Genomic DNA, 27,241 nt, shown 5'->3' on the forward strand with positions numbered 1-27,241 from the left:
CGTCATCAAAACATAGACAGCAGGCTGGATTTGACCAACGGGCCATAGTTGGCCAGCACTGGTCTATTAGATCATTGGCCACAATGCTCAGATAGGAGCAGTTTTATGTACTGACTGCAGCATGTTATCATATGTCTATATCTGAAGTCCACTCTCAAAATATTAACTCACACTTATTAATCATCACCTTGAAGTTTGATTATAGGGACAGAAACTAATCATGGGTGATGGGTCTGATTTCACATTTTGACAGCATAGTTCATTTCTCCCACCATTAAGAAACAGGCAACCTCAGACAGACACTTGGTAATTAAATCTAGCTCAAAATTTGGTTACAGTAATTTTTAAAAAGCAGTCCAACAGAAAAAGAGTAAACGAAAAAGTGCCATCTAGACATTGACTAAATATTGGAGGGAACCATCTTGGAATGGCTACTTTCATTATGTTAGAGCCCTGATAGGTGAGAGGAGAGGGGGCAAGGGGAGACGGAGATGGGAACAGAAGATTTCCCAGATGAGGGGCACTCCCTGGAGCTGAGTCTTGGAGCCAGATGGACTTGTTCACACCAGCATGGAGTGAAATAAGGAGAATCAGAGGACCTGGGCTCATACCCTGTCTCTAGAGGCTCCAAAGGAGTCCCTGAGGTAAAACTGAGATTATTCTAGAGCCACCTGGAAACAAAAAGACACTCTGGACCAGGCTTGGGACATTTTCCTGAAGGTTTCTTCCACCTCTCATTGCCCTTTCTGTCATTCCTGAATTTGAGAATGGGGCTGTGATAACAAAGAAACTGAAAGAACAGTGTCACCATGTGTCTTACATATCACCATGTGTCAGTCCCTAGAAAACGTACTTTATATGGCATTTGACTTTGATAGGAATCTAATGAGGTCAGTAAAGTGCCCTGGTTACAGAGATAGAGACCTCAATGTCACTAAGATTTAAACCCCTATCAGCCCATCTCCAAAGCCCATGCATTTTTTCTCCCACTATACAAATCAATATTATTGATATTTATATGTGTGGTAAGCTTGCAGAATAAATAGATTTTGAACTTTCTTTTTAACACAGAAAAGCAAAATACAGTGAAGTTTTGGTGGAACTTTCATTCTCATCAGGCCATAGGCTTCAGTGCCGCATTATCATATGGGCCAGGTGGGCTTTTTCCAGGTTACTGAGCCCAGTGGCTTCTATAGCTCGGTTTTAGGAGGCTATGGAGAACAGACTCTCTCCTGCCCTTGGGGGGAAATGCAAATCAATACAGGTCATTTGTTGAGTATTTTGTCAATAAGAATCAAATGGCTTTTTAAAGTACCCCTAGTGTTTTTTGATGCAGAAGTTTCTTGTGATCAAATACGTGTGCAAAGATCCAGCAACAAGGGTTTTTGTTGGATCTTTGTTTAAAGCACCAAATGAAATGGCCAACCAGTGGGGGTTTGTTCAGTAAATTATGGTATATTCCTACACTGGTATTCTATTAAATCATGTAAAATGATGTGGCAAAATGTTTAATAATATAGAAAGATGTTCACCATGTATCAGCAGGTGGTTTGCAAAATACTCCTTAAGCTGTGATACTTCTTTGTTTATACACGTAGAGCATCTTGGTCCAAGGTACAAAAGGATTTGTGTGATGTTTTAGGAGTGGTCCTGTTGGGACTATGGTTGATTTTAACTTTTCCACAGTGCAGTGTCTGAGATGACCGTCTTCAGATCTGGGTTGCTTGAGTCTGAACTTTAACTTCACCTTTCACCAGCCTTGTGCTAGAGAAACATCATTAGCTTGAACAACCAGTAACCATAATTATGATTTGCATGTCATAAAACATTCTTCTCTCATATCATTGTTAATGCTCCCTGAGAATTCCCTTATCATAATATGGAGAACAAATCCCTTTTGGTTAAAACTATGCCTTGGTTTCTTCAACTGTAAATCACAGTAATGCCTCTCTCAAAGGGCTGTCATGAAGAGCAAATGAATTAATACAGCACATGCTTAGGAGGGTAATAGCTGAGCATGAGCTATTGCTGTTATCTGTATTTTCTAGTTTGGGTGCAGTGGCCACATGTTATTTTTGTAATTTAGAAAACCAATTCTGTTAATCTTTTTTTTTGAGACGAAGTCTCGCTATTATTGCTCAAGCTGTAGTGCAATGGCACGATCTCAGCTCACTGCAATCTCCACCTCCCGGGTTCAAGCAATTCTTCTGCTTCAGCCTCCCAAGTAGCTGGGATTACAGGCGCCTGCCACCACGCGCAGCTAATTTTTGTATTTTTAGTAGAGATGGGGTTTCACCATGTTGGCCAGGCTGGTCTTGAACTCATGACTTCAGGCGATCCGCCCACCTCGGCCTCCCAAAGCCCTGGGATTACAGGTGTGAGCCACTGCACCCGGCCCAATTCTGTTAATCATTTTAAAAAGCAGTTGTATCAGTGGTCGTAAGGCAAGAGAAAGGTTAGGATATAACACCATGATGGGTCAAGCAACACTATCACATTTGAATTCAGACACTAGTTTCTTTCTTCTCCTTCTTCTTCTTCTTCTTCTTCTTCTTCTTCTTCTTCTTCTTCTTCTTCTTCTTCTTCTTCTCCTTCTCCTTCTCCTTCTCCTTCTCCTCCTCCTCCTCCTCCTCCTCCTCCTCCTCCTCCTTCTTCCTTCTTCCTTCTTCTTTCTTCTTCTTCTTCTTCCTCTTCTCCTCCCCCTCCTCTTCTCCTCCCCCTCCTCCTCCCCCTCCTTCTCCCCCTCCTCCGCCTCCTCCTCCCCCTCCTTCTCCCCTTCCTCCCTCCTCCTCCCCCTCCCCCTCCTCCTCCCTCCTCCTCCCCCTCCTCCTCCCTCTCCCTCCTCCTCCCTCTCCCTCCTCCTCCCTCCTCCTCTTTTTTTTTTTGAGATGGCGTCTCACTCTGTCACCCAGGCTGGAGTGCAATGGCACGATCTTGGCTTACCACAACCTCAGACTCCTGGATTCAAGCAATTCTCGCACCTCAGCCTCCTGAGTAGCTGGGATTACAGGAAAGGCACCCACCATCTTGCCCGGCTAATTTTTGTTTTATTTTTGTGGAGACGGGGTTTCACCATGTTGGCCAGGCTGGTCTCAAACTCCTGACCTCAGGCGATCCACCCGCCTCGGCCTCCCAAAGTATTGGGATTGCAGGCATAAGCCACCACAACCGGCCTAGAGACTGGTTTCTATATGAGCCAGTTTATTTGTTGACCAAACAGAGGGAGTTGTGCCAGGAATCATGGCCTCCGTTAATGTTTTTAAGATTGCAGGGGAAGCATTCCAAATGTTTTCAAAGGTGTATTAAGGTAAGTCTTGTCAAAACATTCCCACTTGAAATAATAAGCATTCTTATTTCTTTAAGTAACAGAGACATAGCAATGGCTTTCCTGGCTAAACGTGATCATCACAGACACACTGACCAGCTGTTTATCTTTGCTTCCACAAATTCCAACAGGCAACTTAATAGACATTTTGTGGTTATATGTTTCTAAGACAGCCATGGGAAATGAATTTATTTCTACCTTTGTGAAGAACAGCTATAGAAATGACCATTGAAATTCAGTGAATGGCATTTCTGCTTATGGGCCTTAAAACTGGGAACCAAAATTAAATTCTTTTAGGTATTTTCTCTCCCGTGTCTTCTAAATTGTTGTGTGGGCTGATTTTTCTCCATGAAAGACTCTCAGAGTCCTAAATTCAGGTTTTCTGTCTCCTTGGGCTCTAGCATTCTGGAATAAGCAAGAGTCAAGAGATTCTCCATTCTTATTTCCTCTGCATGTTAGAATATCTAATAGGTGTGAGACAGTTTATGTTGTGCTCAGCATTGGACAGCCACCATGTAAACAATTACGGCGTTTTTTCATCCAGGCATTACATTAGGTCCATAACACTCACAGGAGCTCTGTAAGGCTGAAATTGCCACATCCATTCTACTAGGAGGGTTATGGAGTTCCCAAGGGCTGACCTGCCTTTCCTGAGTCACCCACTGGAGAGCCAGGGCATTGGATTTGACCTCATAGCCGCTGCTCTATCCACTCCCTTGGGCTATTAAAGAAAAGCACGGGACATATTGATGGAAAAAATCTGACAGATGTCTCAAGGACAACTTTATCTTTTATCAGACTCATTTCAGGGATTTCTGTATTCATTGCTCCTGGACTTTTCACATATTTGGGGAGCTTGATTGAGTTTCCCTCAGCTCTTCCATTAGAAAGCCCATGTGGTACAGTGGCTCAGAGCTTGGGCTTAGGAATTCACAAATGTGAATCTGTGAATCTGAGCTCTGCATCTTATTACTTGTGTGGCCTTGGGCAAGTCACCTCACCTACCTGAGCCTAGGTTTCTTTGGCTGTAAAATGGAACTCATAGCACGGCCTGTGTGGAAGACAGAATAATGGCTCCTCCCCTTCAAAGAAGTCCTCATCCTAATTCCCAGAACTTGTAAATATGTTACCTTACAGGGCAAATGGGACTTTGTAGAAGTGATTAAGTCAAATATATTGAGATTGGAAGATTATTCTGAATTATCCAGATGGGCCTGATATAATCACAGGGTCTTAATAAGGGGGAGGTGGGAATGGCTGGGTTGGAGATTTAAAGATGCTCTAGTGCTGGCTTTGAAGATGGAGCAAGGGCCCACCATGCAAGGGCTGTGGACAGAGCTTCTGGCATCTAAAACAAAAAAGGAAAAAAAAAGGCAAGGAGAGAAATTCAGAAGGATTGCAGCTCTGCCCACACCTTGATTTTAGCCCACTGAGACCCACTTTGGACTCCTGTCCTGAAGTGTAAGAGAATAAAGTCACATGGTTAAGTCACTAAGGACATGGCAGTTTGTTACAGCAGCAATAGGAAATGGATGTAACCTTTTTTATATGGTTTGTGGGCTTGAAAGAGATGACGTGTTAAATACAGTAGCTTTTGACCTTGAAAGAGACGATGTGTGAAATACATTAGTTTTGGGGGCTTGAAAGAGATGACAGGTGAAGTACATTAACTCTTGGGCATGAAATACATTAGCTTCATGGCCGTTAGCATTGGCCATGAAGAGCTCTTGACCAATAGTAGCTGGTGTTACCAATAATAAAATAATGGTGAGACTTGAGATGACACAGGAGTGTTCTAACAGAGGCACAGTCCACTTGACCAGATCTTTCTCAGGCATCTCCATCGACAGTGGGGTCTCCCTAGAAGGCTGGGTGGCTGCCATCCCACCCAACCAGCCTGCCTGAGTTGGTAAAAGTGCATGAAAGTGTTCCTCTCAGGGGGTGGCCTTCCATTGGCCCTCACAAGGGCACAGCGGAGCTCGTTGGTTATGCTTCAGTTACATAAATCCAGCCTTACAAAGGCTACACAGAGAGAGGGGCTCCTTGCCTCCTAGATCTGTACCTTGTAGGTGCTCAATACACATTGGTAAGAATGTTCACATCATCAGGTAAGCAAGGGGTATAAAGTGAGGCCTTGAATCGCTCACGTAGATTCAAGTAGTGTTGAGAAACTAAGAAGTGGTGAATTGTACCCTTTTTTCCCCTCCCAAATTAGAACTCCTAAGAAATACAGGACAACTGGAGACCAAACCGTAGGTTTCATTACCTATGAAGCTGATTAGGAAAGCCTTGAGTTTGTACCCAAATAAATTTGCTAATACTTTTACCTAAATTAGAGAGATTCGGATGGGGTGGGATAACAACACGCCACATCTACCTGGGTGGAGCCCATCTCAGGATGCCTCTGCCCAGGAGGAGGGGCAGTGAGAAGGAGGCCGGAAGGGGAAGAGAAACAGGAGAGGGAAAGGAGGAAAGGAGACATAGCTAGGGAGATGCCACTCAGCAATCAGAAACCTCCATTCCTTTTCCTGGGGTGGAGTGGAGGAAAAGGGAAGGGGCAGGGAGGCTCCTAGCCCACAAGCCACTTTTGTGCAATAGGAAAAGATGCTTGACCAGTGACGATGAGCTTTTTTCCAAATGTTTTTTGGCCACAGAAGTGTCTTGAGAAGTTTCTGTTCATATCCTTCGCCTGCTTTTTAATGGGGTTGTTTGTTTTTTTTCTTGTAAATTTGTTTAAGTTCCTTGTAAATTCTAGATATAAGACCTTTGCCAGATGGGTAGATTGCAAAAATTTTCTCCCATTCTATAGGTTGCCTGTTCATTCTGATGATAGTTTCTTTTGCTGTGCAGAAGCTCTTTAGTTTAATTAGATCCCCATAGTCAATTTTGGCTTTTGTTGCAATTGCTTTTGGTGTTTTAGTTGGGGGGTGGGGGGCAAGGGAAGGGACAGCATTAGGACAGATGCCCAATGCATGTGGGGCTTAAAACCTAAAATATGGGTTGATGGGTGCAGCAAACCACCATGGCACATGTATACCTATGTAACAAACCTGCACAGTCTGCATATGTATCCCAGAAGTTAAGGTAAAATTTAAAAAAAGGAAATAAAAGATGCCCGTTCCTCTGAATGGACATAGCCCATGCCAAGGGTAAGGCTTGGTGAGTGGAACAGGCTGGATTTTAATCCTCAGGTTGCTGCACCCTTGGTGAAGCACAGGGCACTAGAGAAGAGTGTTCACAACCTCCAGCCCCTCCACAAAGAAGCCTGATTCTGGAAAGACAGAGGTTCCAACCTCACCCTTACTTCTCTTCTGAAGATCTGCTGTGCATGAAGCATTTTGGAGGTATTTCTTCAGCTCAGAACACAGCAACTTTCCTATGAAAGAGAGCACAAAGGGTTAATGCCACCAGAAGACACTCAGCCTGTCCAGTGTCGCTACCACTGGGACGGGCAATGGGAGGCATCTGAGGCTTTGCTGACAACTTCTTCTGCTGTGAGGGTGGAAAGCAGGCCAGATCTTTATGACCTGGACTCCACGTTTTGGGATTCTAGCAAGATGGGACCCACTCCGGGTGCTGTGCCCATTCTCAGTGCCAGTGGGGCTGATATGGGGTCATGGCAGGTAGCGGGAGATAACAGCCTCATCCTCAACACTAGACATCCAGACAGAGTGGCTCAGGCCCTGTAAGCAACTGGTGTTAGGGCAGATAATGAGATTTTCTGGTGTCTGCTTGGTGACAAGAGTAGTGGCTTCAAGGAATTTTTTTAAAAAATAACATTTGTTTATAGTTGTGTTTTTTAAAGTAGAAAATATATTCATACGAGCAAGTAATTAGTGTCCTGCCAGGTAAGTCTCATGGTGACATGTCAACGTAATTATTTTTTAAAGTCTGCCTCAAATAAAGCATCAAAATTTCCTGCTTTAAATCTCCTTTCTCTGTAAAAATGGTTAAGAGGAGTGAAAAGAGAGGATGGGAGGGGTCTGAGAGCATTGATGCCTCATCATAGTCAGCCAGCTGTGGCACCACCTCTGTCTTTGCCTGTCACTCTCATACAAAGGATGTGCATAGGAAATGTGATCCTACCCATCCTCAAATTCTAGATTTGGACTTGAATTTGGTGCTCTTATTTCCACATTAAGTTAAAATCTAGCCTCCAGATCCCCAGGCTTCCCCTCCCATTGTACCCAGAAGAAACAAGAATTGTTTCTCAGTTCTAACTGTCATAATGCCTAGCGGGCGTTAGCCTACAACGAAGGATAATTCAATCTATCCTCACCTTAGTGTACGCTGGACAACACTAGGACTCAGAAGTGCTTTGCTCTTGATCTTGAAAGGCCAGTGGAAATCCATGCAGATTCCTCCCCCAGGACCCTCCCAGCCAGCCTGATAATGAATTCATGGGAAACAGCCTACATGTGAGCACCAAAGGGAACACATTTAGTAAACTCTGCCAAAGGAGCACAGTTCTTGTAAAGCTGATGAGGTTTGTGATTAATCCTTTTTTTTTTTTTTTTTTTTTTTTTTTTGAGAAGGAGTTTTTGCTCTTGTTGCCCAGGCTGGAGTGCAATGGTGGAATCTCGGCTCGCCACAATCTCCACCTCCCAGGTTCAAGCGATTCTCCTGCCTCAGCCTCCGGAGTAGCTGGGATTACAGGCATGCGCCTCCACGCCCGGCTAATTTTTTATTTTTAGTAGAGACGGTGTTTCTCCATGTTGGTTAGGCTGGTCTTGAACTCCTGACCTCAGGTGATCCACCTGCCTTGGCCTCCCAAAATGCCTAACCCAGTTTAAAGAGATCCAGGAAGCAGATTGTGAGCTGCAGATATGATGTGATTATTAAAAGCAGCCTCCATTGCCAACATTGCAAACGCATCAGCATGTTCCTTCCTTCAACATTCCATAACGTGGTGGTGGTATTCCCACCTTACCCCGGGAGAAGCTGAGAGTCACAGGGAGTATTTACTTTCCAAGTTCACACATTCAGGGAATGGGTAGAAGTGGAATTCACACCCAGGTCAGTGTAAGACCAAAGAGGCTGTCAGAATGGTTTGCTGTTCCACTCATGGCAAACAGGATTTGAAGTTGTTCCAGTCCAAGGGAGACCATCAGGCCATGCAGGAATAAAAAGGCCAAGGGGAGGAAAGAAGATGCTGTCTTCATTAAGGCCTGAAGGAAAAGGCTGGTCAGAGTGAAGAGTATAGACAAGCTCCTCTGTATCCTCTCAAAGATTTGGAGCCACTGATCTCTCTGGGGGTTGGGGAATGGGGCAGTTCCTGGGAAAGGGACTTATTGGTGGGAATCCAGTTCTGCTATGAATGCTCCTGACTCCTGCACTCAAATCCCAACAGATGAAAGGGAGGAGAGACTGACAGATGCAGTGCCTTCCTTTATGTAACCTCCTTGATCCAAACTACAGTCTGACCCATGCTTTCTGGCTTTATATTGTACCACTACGTTCCTAACTCACCCTCGTTCCAATGGCATCAGCATTTTCTCTTCCCTCAAAGATAATGCACTTCTGACTTTTGCATATTATGGTAGCCAGCCCCCAGGAGGGCTCCCAGTGATTCTCACCTCATGGTACCCATGCTCCTGCGTGGTCCCCTCCCACATCGAATAGGAATGACTTGTGTAGCCAAATAGGACATGGCAGAAATGACTTTGTGTGAATTCTGAGCCTTGTTTATTCTTGTCCTTTCTTGCTACAGGCAAAGCCAAATGCCGTGTTGTAGGGAAGCTCAAGTAGCTTCATGGAGAAATCCACATGGCAAGGAACTGAGGCCACCTACTAATAGCCAGCATCAATTCTTTAGCCGTATGTGTGAGCCACCTTGGAAGTAGACCTTCTAGCCCCCATCAAGCTTTTAGATAACTGTAGCCTCACCAACATCCTGACTGAACTACACAGCTGAGCAGCTTCCATATCTCCAAGCCACAAACACTGTGTGCAATCATAAATGTTTTTAGTTGCTTTAAAGCACTAAGTTTGGGGTAATTTTATTCAGCATTAGATAACTAATACACATAGTCTGTTTCACCAGCTAAAATTGCTGCTCATTTCTCTGTTACCCCCCAAACCTGGTGTGAGCAGCCCCTCCTCTGTGGACTTTTTCTGGTCTTCTTTGCATGACTCAATCCCTCTTTCTTCATTTTCTCACACAGATTGTTTAGCATTCTATTAATGCCACTGTCACAAGGAAAAGCAATATTTTTATTACAGTCTCTCTCCTCTGTCGATTCTAGGCTTCTTGAGAAAGTTTGTAATGTATGCATTCTTCAAAGAGGTATTGTTATTAATAGAGGCTCAGAAGATGGCTGAATGAATGAAGAGTGTGTGTTAGAACCTGGGGAAATTTAAACCAAATACATTTAAAGCCAGTGACATTTTCAAAGCATATTTGGCTAGAAAGACTAAGTTCTTTAAAGTAGTTTAGAAGCAGTATTAATGGTACACAGTCTTTGTCCCATTCTTAACAGTACAATAATGATAATTGGTTGCTACTCTGGAAACAAATTAAAGAGCCCAGGAAACGTTTCCAAAGGTGACTGGAATGCTTAACTGAGCTAGACTGTTAATATCTAATGCTAGCCTTCCTGTGGGCATAGCACCCTGAATTGCCTGATCTCATCTAATGGCACATGCTCAGACATCCTTGGTTTTAAATAAAAATTGTCTTATCACTTAGTTTAAAAATGTTTTGCTTAGTAAAAAATTTATGAGGGCAGGTGCGGTGGCTCATGCTTGTAATCCCAGCACTCTGGAAGGCCGAGGCAGGCAGATCATGGGCTCAGGAGTTCGATGCCAGCCTGGCCAACATAGTAAAACCCGTCTCTACTAAAGATACAAAAATTAGCAGTCCGTGGTGGCGGGCGCCTGTAATTCCAGCTACTCAGGAGGCTGAAGCAGGAGAGTCGCTTGAAACCGGGAGGCAGAGGGTGCAGTGAGCCGAGATCGCGCCACTGCACTCCAGCTTGGGCAACAAGAGCAACATTCGGTCGAAAGAAAGAAAGAGAGAAAGAGAAGAAGGAAGGAAGGAAGGAAGGAAGGAAGGAAGGAAGGAAGGAAAGAAGGAAGGAAAAGGAAGGAAGGGAGGAAGGAAAGGGAAGGGGAGGGGAGGGGAGGCGAGGGGAGGGGAGGAGAGGGGAGGAAAGGGAAGGGAAGGGAATACATTTAATAAATGTGGAGTCTGCCAAATCAGGTCGGCAGTTTACTTCTCCTGTCCCCGGTTCAATAACTCACTTACTGGGGTTCTGGAGGATAGCAGTGAGAAGATGGGGTAAAAAATTAGAGAGAAGTTTTGCGTTGCCCCATGGCTGCTTCTGTAGTGTAGTCCGTGCATCCGCCCTTCGATGCTTGGGTTGGATCATAGAGCAGTGACTGTTGATGGCTCACCCAGATCCCCAGGAACCCACCACTCCCATACAGGCTTTCAACCTGTTAATCCCTGCAGCTGCCTGCCTGGACTTTCCTCTGACCATGGGAGTGTGCTCAGTCTTACTGCCCAGGGAACAGCCATCAGCCTTTGAGTGGCAAGAGTTGGTAGATTACCATCCCTTCTTGACCCTTGGAATAGGACAACTTCGAGATATGTTCTCCCGAGTCTCCCAGATGACCCCAGTGAGTTTGAACACCAGTTGTCCACAGAGATAATCTGCCCATTGCCACCTGTGTATTGACTCTTTTACATATTCTGTCTCACTTCTCTTTCTCCCTCACTTGTGCTTCTTAAGATTGTATCCTGAATAAGCTATTTGCACTCAAATAGGCAGAGAGCTAGCTGGATCCATTATTCTCTCTTGTCTTCTATATTTTAGATATCTTGTAACAGGCACAAGGTACCGTGTAGAGCTGAGGTGTAATGACCCAGCTGATCTGTTTGTACTTTCTCATGCTGCTAATGGGTACCTGGAGTTGAGAATTTATGCATAGGTGTGTACATGCCATCACAGCTCTGTGTGCATGAGTGCCTGTGGGGTCTGCATAGCATGCACACATCACAGAAACCCTCTGCCCTCCCTTCTCATTCCTCTATTTGAAGCCAAGTTTCCATAATCCCTCTACTCAACCCCCTTCTTCCCCAGCCCCCAGGGGCTTCCCATACTTAGGGTCACCCTTTCTTACCTCAGAGTTTCAAAGATGTAAGAGCTGATGCCCACCTTGATGGTATTCACAAAGTATAGCAGGGAGGCGGCCATGGAAATGACTCTTTACAGCAGGATGATATGTGGAACATGCCATGGCCAGGGAAGTAACTTTGTCTCAAGGGGATCAGGAAGATGCCCAGGTATGGGATAACTTGAGCAAAAGATTTTTGAGCACTGATCTGCAGATTTTACTCTCTGTAAAGGGCCAGATAGTAAGTATTTTAGGCTTTGTGGGCCATATGGTGGCTGCTGCAACTGTGCAGCTTTACTTTTTTGTAGCACAAAAGCAAGCATAGATACCACATAAATGAATGAGCATGGCTGTGTTCCAATAAAACTTTATTTACAAAAGCAGATGGTGGGCCAGATTTGTCCCATTAGCTGTGGTTTGCTGACCTCTGATTTAAAGAGTGGGAAGTAGATTTCTGGAAAGGGAGAAAGGAAGACTATTTCTAGCAGAGAGAAGAAAACATATAAAGGCAAAGAGTGGGAAACCAGAGGGAATAAGACAAATTTGATTTACCAAAAAGTCCTTTTTGGTGGTAGTAAAAAATACTAATAATAAAAACTAAGTTTTATTAAAGCCTTATTATGAGTCAAGCATTGGGCTAAATATTTTGTGGATTCTCATTTAATTATTACTCTCTCTGAGTTTGGAGGACCTTGTTTTCCTCATGGCACACACGAGGAGTAAATTAAGCTCAGAGAGGGTAGATGACTGGCTCAAGGTCACACAGCTACCAGCTGGCCAGGTGGCAAGACCCCGGACAGAGGATTGGGAGCATGGTATTGTAGCCAGCGTACCTCCTTGTGTCTATCATTAGCCCTGCTTTAATGGACTTTTTCAGAAGTGTTTTTGCTTGTGTTTTACAAGTGGAATGTGATTCCTTGACTCAGCCCAGTAGCCCTGTGAATGGATGGCTGAAACGAGTCTGACGGCTTTTTCTCCTGGGGCCATTTTGTAAGAAATAAAAGCAAAACAGTGAGATATTTAAATTCTTCAGGGATATTATTTTCGAGTGGATAAAGTGAAGAACATTTTTTATTCATATTAGAAGTGATAGTTGGATGTGTGTAATTTTTTTGCTCTCCGAGATGGAGAGAGAACACAGCACAGATCTTAGAATGTAAAATATGAATTTAGATGACATTTTGAGAAAACTGATAAACACCACCATTCCACAATTGGACTTAACTTGCCTGTGAAAATCCTTCTGCAGCCCACAAAATGATAGAGATAGGTGGACTACGTCTAATGGATATTAAAAATACACAACACACCAATGAAGGAATAATTTTCTTTTGCAAAGTTTTCATTTCTCAAAATGCTACCAGGAAAAGAGAGATACCTTGACAGCTGACAGTAACCCTGGGAATAAGGATATGTTAGAAGAGAAGGGCTGCAGTAGTTGTGAAATCCTACCTGGAATCTACCCCTGGACAGGAGACCCAGGGATCAAGACTCAAAGCTGATGCTCTCAACACCAATGTTTCATCTCCAGTGTACCACGAGGTCCTTGTCCACCTACTTCTAGATAGAGCCAAACTGTCTAAGCCAAAGGGGGTTTGGGTTTCTTTCACCACCCACCTGTGCACATGATTAGTTTGAAAAAGTATGTCTTAAAGAAAAATAAATGCAGACAACTAAGTGAGAACAGTTACATGTACTAAAGGTCTTTCAGAAAATCAGTAATGTAGGTCAGTGCATTTCAGGATTTGGAATTTCACACAAAATTTACCCTTGAAAACTTTAGACTGAGAGAAGACTACCATGCCTATTCTGTCATGTAAGGACATCTAAAGAAGAACTGCACACATTGGTATTACCATCTTCCCACACACATACACGGACACGCACGCATGCACACGTGTGTGCACACACAGACACGCACACACATGCACGCATGCACACACACATGCACACATGCACGCATGCACACACATGCACATGTGCACACATGCACGCACATGCACACACGCTCACACACACAGAATGGTTCGTGGCCGGGTGCGGTGGCTCACACCTGTGATCCCAACACTTTGGGAGGCCTACAAGGGCAGATCAACTGAAATCAGGAGTTTTAGACCAGCCTGGCCAACATGACAAAACCACATCTCTACTAAAAATACAAAATTTAGCCAGGTGTAGTGGCAGGTGCCTGTAACCCCATCTACTCGGGAGGCTGAAGCAGGAAGATTGCTTGAACCAGGGAGGCCAAGGTTGCAGTGAGCTGAGATCACGCCACTGCACAGCAGCCTGGGGGACAGAGTGAGATTCCATCTCAAAAAAAAAAAAAAGTTTCATACTTTCACTCACATATACACTCACACACTCGCACATACACCTACACATACACTCATACATTCCCATAGAAACAAGTGAGTTATAATCTCAGAGTGAACAAAATTGAGTAAATTTTACCATACAAACATATTTATTATGCTTGTCTCACTAAAAAGCAGTAAAAATTCTGATATGAGCATCACACAGGTTAATGTAAGATAGTAAGAAGAAGAAAAAAGTATAATTATCCTAGAAGTCCTATTGAAGAATGAAATCGCAAAATAAAAATGGAAGGGGCAAAGGTAGGATCCTTAGAATGCTTACAATGGGAATCTGAATGTTTAATGAGAAATAAGCCCGACACCCATAGCACATAAGGACTCAGGCTTTGGGATCTCTCCCTTCCTAGCTTTGAGGCCTGGGCATGTTATTTAACCTCTCATACCCTCGAAAGGGGCTCATAAAAGCAATCACTGCATGGGGCTTTTGCTTGGTGAATAGTTCCAGCACATGGTTAGTCCTCAGTAAGTGTTAGCTAATAGCATTAGAAACTAGCTTTTTTAAAAAATAAAGGAAGGGGCCAGGCGCGGTGGCTCACGCCTGTAATTCCAGCACTTTGGGAGGCCGAGGCGGGCGGATCACGAGGTCTGGAGGTGGAGACCATCCTGGCTAACACGGTGAAACTCCATCTGTCCTAAAAATACAAAAAATTAGCCAGACATGGTGGCGGGTGCCTGTAGTCCCAGCTACTCGGGAGTTTGAGGCAGGAGAATGGCGTGAACCCGGGAGGCGAAGCTTGCAGTGAGCGGAGATTGCACCACTGCACTCTAGCCTGGCGGACAGAGTGAAACTCCGTCTCAAAATAAATAAATAAATAAATAAATAAATAAATAAATAAATAAATAAATAAAATAAAAATAAAGGAAGGGCTGGGCGTGGTGGCTCATGCCTGTAATCCCAGCACTTTGGGAGGCCGAGGTGGGTGGATCACGAGGTCAGGAGTTTGAGACCAGCCTGGCCAATATGATGAAACCGATCTCTACTAAAAATACAAAAATTAGCCAGGTGTGGTGGCATGCGCCTGTAGTCCCAGCTGCTCAGGAGGCTGACACAGAAGAATCATTTGAACCCAGGAGGTGGAGGTTGCAGTGAGCTGAGATCATGCCACTGCACTCCAGCCTTGGCAACAGAGTGAGACTCCGTCTCAATAATAATAATAATAATATAATAATAATAATAGTAATAAAGAAAGTACATGGGGAAGGAATATGTTCTACATGAGCTTTCACAGGGGCACCGATCTAGACCAGTGTGGACTAGAAGTAGCCACATCCCCTGAGATCCTGTCGGTAAAACACATTCTCGGGCCTCCCCACAAACCTCTTGATTTGGAACCCTGGGAGGTGGCACCCAATAACCTGTGTTTTCAACAAACCCTCTAGATGATGCCAAGCCACACTAAAATTTGAGAACCTCTGATCAAGCCCTGCAAGCTTTTTAACCCTGGTCCTGGGCAGTCAGCTAAATCCAGGAAGTATTTCGCAGATTGGGAATAAATAAAAGAAGAAAAAAAAAAAGGCATAAGTGTCTTTGGGTTGAATCTCATTTTAAGCCCCAGAATTAGGCTTGTGAAAACAATTCAAGAATTGTCTTCGAGCCTATAATGCCTGCTAGTCCCATGAGAAAAAGATTTTGAAACAAAATAAGTTGAGGTTGGATTTGCTTTTTTTCCAAGCTTCAAAGCATCAAACAAAGATCCATGTTCACATCTGAATATCTGAGTTCACATCTGAGTCAGCCGCTGACTCAGCCCCTGACCACAGAGTGATGAACAGAGAGGCAGGCATCATGGGACCTGAAATGGCATTTTCTCCAAAATATTAGAACGTCCTTAGATCCCTTAGATCAATGGTGATCGTGGGCCTGGAAAACTTCTCCAAAAAGTGCAAACTTCTCCTGTAGTTAGCATATTAGTTTGTTCTCATGCTGCTATAAAGACTTACCCTAGACTGAATAATTTATAAAGGAAAGAGGTTTAATTGACTCACACACAGTTCTTTGTGGTTGGGAAGGCCTCAGGAGACTTACAATCATGGCAGAAGGGAAAGTCAACCGTCCTTCTTCACAGGGTGGCAGCAAGGAGAAGTGCTGAGCAATGCGCAGGGATAGCCCCTTATAAAACCGTGAGATCTCTTGAAAACTCATTCACTATCATGAGAACAGCATGAGGGTAACTGCCACCGTGATCCAATTACCTCTCACCAGGCCCCTCCAACAACACATGGGGATTATGGGAACTACAATTCAAGATGAGATTTGGGTGGGGACACGGCCAAACCTTAACAGTTGGGTTCAAAGACAAATGCCACCATAATAGGCCGCAGATCACCTTTATTGCCAGCCTCTCTAGTCCCCAAGTAGCTGATAAAAACATAGACAAAAATTATAGAGAATGAAGGAAAAAAAGTAAGGGGTTATTTTGAGAGCAAAGTTTGCCTCATCTGTCCAATAGAGACTGTCTTGTATGTTAAAAGTTCATCATCAGGAGCTGAAAGAATTGAAAGTAAAATGAAACTATCTTGTGTGCCTCGTAGGAATACAACCTGGACGTAGTGTCCATTACTAATTAAAGCCAATGTGTATTGTACTTTCACAGTGAGACAGGCCCTGCTCTTTGTTCTCTATATTTATTTACATGCACTTAATCCTCACAATTACTCCATGCAATAAATCCCATTATCACTTTCTGTACTAGGTTGACTAGGGTCCTCCCCAAATTCATGTCTACCCAGAACCTCAGAATGTGTCTTTTCAGATGTAATTAGCTAAGATGAGGTTATGCTGGATTAGGGTAGGCCCTACGTCCAGTATGCCTTGGAGTATCCTCATAAGAAGAGGAGGGCCGGGTTCGGTGGCTCATGCCTGTAATCCCAGCACTTTGGGATGCCAAGGCAGGTGGATCACCTGAGTTCAGAAGTTTGAGACCAGCCTGGCCAACCTGGTGAAACCCAATCTCCACTAAAAATACAAAAAATTAGCCGGGCATGGTGGTGCTCACCTGCAGTCTAAGCTACTCAGGAGGCTGAGGCATGGGAATTGCTTGAACCTGGGAGGTGGAGGTTGCAGTAAGCCAAGATCATACCACTGCACTCCGGCCTGGGCAACAGAGTGAGACTCCATCTCAAAATTAAAAAGAGAAGAAGAGGAGAGAGACAGAGACACACAGAAGATCCAGGAGAGAAGGCCAAGTAAAGTTGGAGGCAGAGAGTGGGATGATGAGTCTATAAACCAAGAAATACCACGGGTCACCAGCAAACAACTAGAAGCTAGGATAGAGGCCGGGAACAGATGTTCCCTCAGAACTTCCAGAAGGAAGGACTCTTGTAGATGTCTTCTTTTGTGCTTTTGGCCTCCAGGACTATTAGAGTAAATTTCTGTTGTTTTGAGCCCCTCCGGTTTGTGACGTGTAGTTACTGCAGCTCCTGGACACTGAGATGCCCCTGTTTCTTGATGGCGAAATGGAGACTGAAAGATCATGTCTTACCCAGGTGCACACAGCCAGCTTTTGGAGGTTTAGGGTCAGAGGCAGCTTCGGGGGTAGGAATCTAGAATCTGGTTTCCTCATCTTGTGCTGTGTCGTAGGTCTGCTGGGTTCAGGTTCTGGAGACGTCATTCCATGTTTCTGAGCTCTCTTTTCTCCCCTGCAGATGTAAGAACTCTGTACTTGAGGACTCATGCCTCAGCTGGGTGGTGGGATTGGATTCCTTTTAAGGTCTCTCCAAACCAACCCTGAGCCTCTTTGATTAGAATTCTAGAAGCTTTGAAACCACCACTACAAAATTCATTTGCACGACATTTCTCTTTTAAGCATTACACTTCTCTCTGCAGTAACTTTGAAGTTACTGTCGTTTTATGCACTCACGAAGAGTTAACAAGCAATAATAAACAGTCAAGACTGCTTTTCATTTCACATATCTGCATGTGTTCAGTCTTTTCCGTGACACAATTGAAGGAGCTTCTGTAATCAGGAGAGAAACTTTATATCATGCTGTAATTTCCCTTGATACAAGCTAGAAAAAGATACTGGTTTAGATTCACTGGGGTGATTGACTAGAAAATTGCCCCAGCTGTCAAAGTTTCCAGTGTTAAAAAGCAGTGTAAAATTTCTCAAATGCTTAGAATTTCTAGATGTCACAACAGAGATGTTACCAAAATATGAGAATCAAGTTTTTTATAAGCAGGACAAAAATACATTATTTTTCTCAAGTTCTCAATATTTGGTTGAATTCATGAAGAAATTTTTAAAACACACCAAGCAAAGCGTTCATTTTGTTTAGAAATAAAATTAATAAGTTGTTTTTTGATATTGTATTAATGTGTCCTGCCACATTAAAAGATTGCCTATATATTTATAAATTTAATCTTTATATAGGAATTAAACAGACAAGCCAGAAAAAGAAAAGAAATGATAAGCTGATATTTGGGTATAATATTATCTTGTTATCCATGTTCTTTGTATTAGCTGAATTATTTCCATTTCTGCTCCAACCAAGAAAATCAATTCAAACATTGTTCCTCGTGATTTATTCAAAAATTCGCTTTTCCAAGTTTCCGTCTAAGAGCATGTGGTGGGTTCTTATCTTCATCATAAAAGTGTATAACATAAAGAGATGTCCTCAGATAGCTCATGGCATTTGTTAGCTCAGGGGGGTTGTAGAAAGTTTCCTGTAAGCGTTTTACACTCAAAGTTTTCTTTATAGTGCCAAAGAATGAGAAGCAAAAGCAATTCAGCACTGGAACCGTTTGGGGAGTGTGGCTCCATTCTGAGGTTCTCTTCTCATCAGAGTGGGGGCACCCTATAATTTTGAGACCTTGAGCCAGGCTTTCATGTCATCTCTCTTTATGAACACTCCACTAGTTTCTAGCCTATAAAAATAGTGTCAACATTACAGTAAGCTAAGTATAAGGCAGAATCAAGAAGCCAAGGATCTGATTTTATTTCAGAGTTCTGAAATGGAACTAAGTGTTACAGAAAGCAATTTGTGGGAAACAATTCTCTACAGTATGACTTATAGACTGCTTCAAAGGAGAGGTGTCTTCTCTTCCTAGACCTGGGATTTTAATGTGAGAGCTCCCTTATCATGTTGAGGAGAATGGCTGTCTGAATTGTTCTCCCTCTTATTTATAAAGGCAATGATCAGAAGATAATTTGTAAGTACCTACTCTCTTCCAGGCACAGTATTTAAAATGAATATATAGTAAAAAAGCCAGCTGCCTCCCCTGTCATCATGGAATTTATAACTTAGTAGAGAAGATGTCAAAAAGATATTGCAAATGATCTGAGTGTTTTTTACAATGGCATTGTTGTGTACAACAGGTGGATTCCCACCTTGTTGGGGAAAGCAAGGAGTGCTCCCTGGAGGAAGTGGTATTTATTTTGAGACCTGGAAATTGTTAGCCAGGAAAGGAGATAAAGTGGCGGGAGTGAGAGCAAAAATATTGTCACCAGAGAAATCAGTGAGTGTAAGAAATTGCTGGTGTAGTTAAAAACTGAAAAAAGTCTGGATACATTGACTGTCGTGTTTTCCCAGTTGTAGGTCTTGTAATTCTGGCAAAGGGAAATATGAAGTGAATTCCTGGAATCTCTTGCTGATCCCAGAGAGACTACAGTTCTAGCATAAAAGGAAGCTCAACAGGGTGACTGTAAGAGGTTCCAGAGCAGCAGGTCATACTCAGCTTAGAAGTGCTTGCAAGACAGTTTAAGGATGTAGACTGTCTAAAAGAGGCTCATAAAGAGATTATCAATCTAAAAGCAAACTTGAAATATTAATCAGGGCTAGATTAGGTTATGCTGCAGTAACAAGTTAACCCCCAAATTTTAGTAGGCATAGCGCAACAAAGTTTCTTTCTTGCTCAAGCTGTGATTCCAACATGGGTCTGCTGGGGAGCTCTGTTCCACGTAGTCATTAAGGGATCCAGGCTGACAGAGGCTCTGCCAGCTTGCAGCATGTGGAGCACTGGCCTCCTTTGTGCCTGTGGCAGAAGAACAAAGAGTTACAGTATCAAAAGCAGCCCTTAAATGCTTCAACCATCCCTTTGGCTAGAACTAGTCATGTGGCCCCACCTACCTGAAGGGAGGGTGAGAAATGTGAGGGAACACGTGGGCAATCACCAGGAAGTTCCTTTGTTTGTTGCAGTGACAGTCTGGAAAACAATGTGAACTGGTTGACAAGCTTAAAAATGGATCTAAGGGCAAAAATGCTAAAGGAGAGAAAGAATTGTTGACAGTGTATAAGAAGATGATTAGGAACAAAGTGAGATGGGCAGTTTGGAGGCTCTTTTTTTAGCTTTAATGGTAATAGAATACACGTGGCACTCTCACTAAATGCAAGGCATTGGGCTTTATGTAGATTGTCCCATTTAATTTTCACAGCAACTCTGAGGTCGATATTATTATCGTTCTCATTTTACAGATAAGAAAACTGAGCCCTGGGGTGATGAAGTGACTAACCCCAGTGATATTGTCTGGCTCTGTGTCCCCACCCAAATCTCACCTTGAATTGTAGTTGTCATAATCTCCACATGTCATAGGAGGGACCTGGTGGGAGGTAATTTTATCATGGGGGTGGTTAACCTCATGCTGTTCTCATGATAATGAGTGAGATATCATGAGATGTGATGGTCTTTTGTTTTGTTTTTTTGAGATGGAGTCTTGTTCTCTCACCCAGGCTGGAGTGCAGTGGCGTGATCTTGGCTCACTGCAGCTCTGCCTCCCAGGTTCATGCCATTCTCCTGCCTCAGCCTCCCAAGTAGCTGGGACTACAGGCACATGCCACCACACGTGGCTAATTTTTTTGTATTTTTTAGTAGAGACGGGGTTTCATCGTGTTAGCCAGGATGGTCTCGATCTCCTGACCTTGTGATCCACCCGCCTCGGCCTCCCAAAGTGCTGAGATTACAGGTGTGAGCCACCGCGCCCGGCCAAGATGTGATGGGTTTTTTTTTGTTTTTTGTTTTTTGTTTTTTTTTGAGACGGAGTCTGGCTCTGTCTCCCAGGCTGGAGTGCAGTGGTGCAATGTTGGCTCACTGCAAGCTCCGCCTCCCGGGTTCACGGCATTCTCCTGCCTCAGCCTTCCGAGTAGCTGGGACTACAGGCACCTGCCACTACACCCGGCTAATTTTTGTATTTTTAGTAGAGACAGGGTTTCACCATGTTAGCCAGGATGGTCTCGATCTCCTGACCTCGTGATCTGCCCGCCTCAGCCTCCCAAAGTGCTGGGATTACAGGTTTGAGCCACCGAGCCCGGCCGATGTGATGGTTTTATAAAGGGCTTTTCCCTGTTTTGCTCAGCACTTCTTGCTGCTGCCATGTGAAGAAGGATGTGTTGGCTTCCCCTTTCACCATGATTGTACGTTTCCTGAAGCCTCTGCATTCATGCTGAACTGTCAATTAAACTTCTTTTCTTTATAAATTACCCAGTCTCTGGTATGTCTTTATTAGTAGCTTGAGAACGGACTAATATACCAGACTCTACAGTTTGTAACGTAGGCACTAGGATTCACAGATCCTAGGCACCTGGTTCTCAGATTCGCTAAACTTTACCATTGTTCTTTGTCCGTAGCCTGGAAGCTTAGAATCTGGAAGGATAGAGAATAGAGTTTTATAGGGACTGGGACACACTGGAAATTTGAGGAATTTTAGTTAGGTTAGGAGGCAGTTCCTACATATAGGTGGAAGGAGAAATACCAGGAGTCTTGTCTTGTCTCAGCCTAACAAGATGACTTCTGAGAATATGATCAGGCCTGTTTCCGCCCTAGCATTGGAGTCCAGTGATATCCAAGGGCCTTTATCAGGAAAACTGCAACATATGAACACAACACAGCCTCTGTTTTGGAGTCCCCAGAAGACAGCTGATTGGTTTAAGTAATAGTCTAGGGACAAAGAAAGAACTAATACTTCAATGAAAAAGAAACAAATACTTCAATGAAAATGAATTTCATATCGCACTTCTACATTCCTTATTTGAGGGTATTTGAGCAAACTAACAGAGGAAGAAAATTAGCCACTTTAACTATAATACCTTGAGTATTAGACTAATCCAGTTATAAGTTTACAGACCCTTTGATCAGAAGTCAGAGAAGTTGCCTAGGAAATGAGTTAAACCTATTTCTAAAATGTCCAAAATTAGCTGTTCAAAGAAATCTTTTTTATAGAGCCTAAAATATTCTAGGCAAGAGATAATGAAGGATGCTCTAGGGCAATGGTGCGGGGAGAGGAAAGAAAGGTGCCTCAATACAAGCAGCATGGCAAAGGTACAATCCTCCCAGTGTGAATGGTGGGGGGAACAAGGGGAACTGAAAAACATGCATGAGGACGTTAGCTTTGAATGGGTTTCTTAGAGCTGGGGGACAAAGGAAGAGTCGCAGATGATCAGAAAGGAGATGTGAAATCTTCTGCTTGCTATGTTGAGTTTGAAAAATAAATGAAAAAATTTCAGGTAAAAACAGCAAATCATAGCAAATAAAGATCTCATATTCAGGAAAAGGGCTAGGCCTGGGTAACTTCATGATATAAATGTTCACCATTGCTAAAACTTAAAGGACTGACAATATCAAGTGCTGACAAGTATGTAGAACAACTAGGAGTCTTGCAATGTTTTTCAAAATGGTAGCCCCAGTCTTGAAACAATACATATGACTTCTAATGACAGAATAAGTCAATGACTAGAGGTAAACAGTGATGAAAAAGAATGAATATGGTTGACACTCACAGGCTCTAAGTGGAGCAAAAGAAGCCAAGTGTACAAAAAAGTACATTTTGTATGATTCCATCGTTTATGAAGTTCAAGAAAAAACAAAAAGGATTTATGGTGATAGAGATCAGAATAGTGACTACCTTGCAGAGATGGCAGTTAGGAGAGGACATAGGAAAGCCTGCTGGAGACTGGGAATGTTCTCTCAGTCTGGGTATTAGTTACATGGATATATACTTAAGTGGGCTGCAGGGTTTGCTCTGAGGGAGCAAACACAGCTTGGGCTGTGTTTGGCCTTGAATATTGTGAATAATATGTTTAGGCAAAAATCCTCTGTGTCTCGACGTCATTGCATGGATCCACTCTATGGTTGGCCTTAGAGCCAGGTTCTTGTTTGCATATAATTTTGCGGAAGTGTTTATGTTTGCCGCTCAATTGCCAATTTTGATTACAGCTTCTCAGCCTGGAAAATTGTCCTGGAAGGGCTTAATGGAACACTTGCAGGAATGTGGCATCATCAATTTTAGAGCCAGAACAGGACGTGGCTAGCTTTTCAGCTGGCCGGGAAGAGCCTGGAGAGTGCTGAGGGACACCAGCCAGGGACAGGCACAGGATCCACCACATGGCTCTGGCCTCAGTTCTGCCCAGCTCAAAATCTTCATCCAAGTTTTATTTAAAAATCCTTTGAAGGGAGAGCAATGGGCTGCCCCACCAAGAGAAGTGTTCACAGGAAGTGCCTCTCCTCAGGTTTCAACCATCGCCTCCCAAACTTCAATTTTTTAAATTTCACCTTTGTAATGTCTGCTATTTCTAACATCTGTTCTAATATATACTTCATGTGCTTTTTAAAGCAACATGCTCTCTTTTACTTCAGTAAACATATTTAGGTAAGACATACCCCATCACCACAGTGCCACAGTAAATGGAAAACCAGCACTTTGCTAACACGTTTTAAATTTAAATTATTGCATGTACTGCCTTGCGTGTTAGCTCTCAGTAATTATTTTTCATCCTCTTAGGTTTCTTCCAGCTTTAAGGCTTTATTATTTTAAGTTATAAAGTAATCGGCCACCCTGTATGACTGTGAGGTCCTTCAAGAGAGAAGGTACTCTTTGCTCTTTGAAATTTAGGAAAAAAAAAAAGAATGGAAAAACCAATAATGGAAAAAAAATTGTATTTTTATGCTAATAGAGTAGTAGCGGCCAGGTGACCTTTAGCAGGTTCCTTAATAGTGTGTCACCACCAACACAGTGTAAACACCAATACGGTGTCAACAACAGCAATAAAATGCAGTTTAAAGACAGCTTATCCCAGGGTATGCTATGAGAATTGGATGAGAATATTGTTAAATCCCTTGTGAGTTTTAAAGGGATGTAAAAGTCTTAGAAATATTGATGTGATCATTGGCAAATGCAGATGGATATTAGAGAAATCAATCTAAATTGTATATGTAGACACCAGCCACCCCCGGAAAAGAACATGAGTGGGTAATTCTTCCACCTATGGGTTTTCCCATGGGATGCAACCTGGGTGCATGGAACCAGCCCTGGCTTCAGAGTTAGAGGGGCCTGGCTAGTGCTGGTTCTGCCACTGACCTTGACCTGAGTGACCTTGAAAAAGAAATCTAACCTCTTGCATTTTCAATAACTTCACCTATAATACAGGGCAAATCATCCTACTATATGAGGTCGTTGAAGTTTAAATGAAAGAGTGTAGAGTCTGCCCTTGAAACACGTTGTTATTTTTCAAGCGATTTTCTGAAGCTAGAGCCCCTCATGTGAGGGATGGAGAGATGAATCCATCAGCTGTTAAATGCCTGCATTCGGGTGCCAGGCCACCTTCCTTCCTAGGTAAGGTCTGCAAATCCAGTTCTCCCCTGCTGCGCAGAGTGCAGGTCCAGCTCTCTGCCCACCGGGTGCTGTCTGTTTAGAGGAGCCAGCTCTGGCTTGCGCTTTAATGTCATGTTTAATGCCTGCTCTGCTGCAGCCTCCACATGTTTATTGAATCTTTATGGAAAGGCCATAACAGCTGCTTCGGGTCCATTATAATGGATCACGTCAAAATGTAGCCTGCCATTGTTTTAAAGTCATGTATTATTCACTTGATGGAGTGTATACGTCCATCTTATGTCAATTTGTGTTATGGACTGTCAAAATTAACATGAGTATATGAGGTAAGGCATATTGGGGAAGAAAGTTCCACAGCGCAATATGCAACCGTGGAGTTTCTAATCTTAATAATTCAGTGGGTGCCAACAAGACGTGGTCTCTATTACAGACTTGAAGCTGGTAATACTTCATTTTTAAAAATGTAACCATTTTTGAGTTACAGGAAAACAAAAATGGTCTGTGGCCAATAAATGTCTAGTTTTATACCGTTCTATAAATGAAAGTAATAAAGCACAGCAAAGTTGCCGAGCGCAGTGGGTTCTTAAACACCTGCAGCGTCATTTCTCATCAGCAGGTGGGCGGCAGAGTTCACATCCCTGGGCCCTGTCGGGGTCTGGCCATCTCCAGGTGGTGACAGGTGGCATCAGACTGGCCTGAATTCAGCCTTGGGGCTGTGCATTCTCCTGGGGCTTATTACAGAGGCTCTGACCTCCACCTATAGGTTCAATTCCCCTCCACCCCAAGGACTTAAAGAATTTTTCCAGACACTTTATGACTCACCACCTAGTGGCTCTTCCCAGTGTGACTCCAGCTAGCCACACCAAGTCCCTTTCAGACTCATGACCTTAGCAGGTGCTGTTCCCTCTGCCTAGAACTTTCTTCCTTTATGTCCTCACCTGGCTGAATTATACTCACCCTTCAGTTCTGCTGAAATGTCACTTCTCCAAAGAAGCATTTCTGGACCCCCGGCCTCCCTATTCCACCCTCCTCTGGTACCCCTTTTATAGGTGCTTCTTCCTCATGCACCTGTCCAGGTTGTATCTAAATTAGTAATAAAAGTTTGATGTCATCCTCTCTACCCACAAATAATGAGTGCAGGATCCATGTCTATGGCGTCCACCCTGTAGCTGTAGCACTTAGCATTGTGCCTGTCATGTCCATAATAGGTGCTCAGCTAGCATTTTTGAATAAATAAATGAGTGCATGGATGGAAGAAAGCAAGGTTGTCTGGCAGACTGTCTTGGTTGAACATGATTTCCTATTCATGATGACCTAGCCCATGCTCTTCAATCCTGATAGCTTTTTTAGATTTTTTAAGCCCAAGGCTCTGTCTTGTCATATGTACCCTACCCTTTTCATTATCCTTGAAGAGAAACTCACCTCCCACCCTGGAATCCACTGGAGCAGCCTGTACCCTGCCAACCAGTGCCCCCCACACCAGGACTCTCTGCCACGTGTGTGTACTCACCAAGTGCTCCTCCATTTCCCATTCCTGAGTTGGATCTACTCCAGGGTCACTCCCTTGCTTCATGGTAGACCCTTGATGTCAGTTCCCTGGCAGCTGGCTTGGGCTCTTCCTAGCGCTCAGATTCCACCTCAGTGGGCATGTCCGGTTGCACATCCCAGAAGTATATATCTTCCCCATTCTGTGGCATGGTTGCAAGGACAACATTGAACATTGGGAAAAGGAGGCAAGAACGACAACAGTCCCCATTTCAAACACTTCAGTCCCTCGTTATGCAGCTCCTAGAAGTATCCATTGTTCTGGGAAAGATGAAGCATCCAGAACCTGTGTCAGGACTCTAGAATGAAGATTCACCTTCTCTGCACCAGCCCAGATGGAGAGCGTCCTGGGCAACCAAAGTCCCCAGGAGTATTTGCACCTCTCAACCAAGATTCTTAGATCACAGCTCTTAATCACTTACCCTGCAGTCCACCCACAGGAGATGAGCTTTATTTCAGTTGTGTAAATTAGTGAAACAGAACCCCGAAGAGCTGAAATGTCCTCATATCTGTCACGACCTTACCATGCACTAGATTTGTTTCCACAGATAAGCTTGTGGGTTTGCACGACAACCAAGAGAATTTGCAGTTAAGAGAATAAATAATGCATTATTAGAAGAATAAATCAGCATGCAGTGTACATGAGTAATATATTCATACCAGGCCCAGTGAAGGAGTAGACACTTATTTAGTGTGTTTATGCAGACATAGATTTAAAAATGTATAACCACATTATTATGGGTTCTTTACAATTGTAGGAGCAGGAAGTTCACACAGGTCTTCCAGCCTGTCTAGCAGGTGGACTGAGAGTCATGAATTTCATGTCTTTTTCTTTTTTCTTTTTTTTTTTTTTTTTTTTTTTTTGAGATGAAGTCTTACACTGTTGCCCAGGCTGGACTGCAGTGGCGCGCTCTCGGCTTACTGCAAGCTCCGCCTCCTGGGTTCACGCCATTCTCCTGCCTCAGCCTCCCAAGTAGCTGGGACTACAGGCACCTGCCACCACACCCAGCTAATTTTTTGTACTTTTAGTAGAGATGGGGTTTCACCATGTTAGCCAGGATGGTCTCGATCTCCTGACCTGGTGATCCGCCCGCCTCGGCCTTCCAAAGTGCTGGGATTACAGGTGTGAGCCACCTCGCCCGGCCAAATTGCATGTCTTAACACCCCCTCTTACTAGCTGAGAGGTCTTGGCAAACCTGTAGCACTGAGAGTGTCAAGTTTATCCATCTTTAAATGGGGCCACCATCTAACACAGAAAAGCCACAGGGATCAGAGAAGAAATCATATGAGTGGGTTCCGTGGGCTGTAAATCCTGAATGCGCATGAGATGGGAAGGTCAG

General features: G+C 43.6%; 1 protein-coding gene and 1 non-coding gene across 7 annotated transcripts in view, besides 1 other annotated feature; both read left to right on the plus strand.

The window, feature by feature from the left end:
- The window catches only part of CDH13 (cadherin 13), a 1,173,672-nt gene that overhangs the window by 870,737 nt on the left and 275,694 nt on the right, over positions 1 to 27,241 (plus strand). The gene's annotated exons all lie outside the window — the stretch shown is intronic.
- Positions 10,641 to 10,703, plus strand: MIR3182 (microRNA 3182). The gene has a single exon (NR_036147.1). It is a non-coding gene; the product is annotated as a microRNA 3182 (primary transcript).
- Positions 12,889 to 13,409: an enhancer, noted in NCBI's record as "H3K4me1 hESC enhancer chr16:83544199-83544719 (GRCh37/hg19 assembly coordinates)". NCBI's record gives its function as "activates a minimal SCP1, AML or CMV promoter by ChIP-STARR-seq in naive H9 embryonic stem cells {active_cell/tissue: H9 hESC(naive)}" and the evidence as "EXISTENCE:reporter gene assay evidence [ECO:0000049][PMID:30033119]".

Source organism: Homo sapiens, chromosome 16 (genome assembly GCF_000001405.40).
Source record: "Homo sapiens chromosome 16, GRCh38.p14 Primary Assembly".
In the NCBI taxonomy this organism is placed as follows: domain Eukaryota; kingdom Metazoa; phylum Chordata; class Mammalia; order Primates; family Hominidae; genus Homo; species Homo sapiens.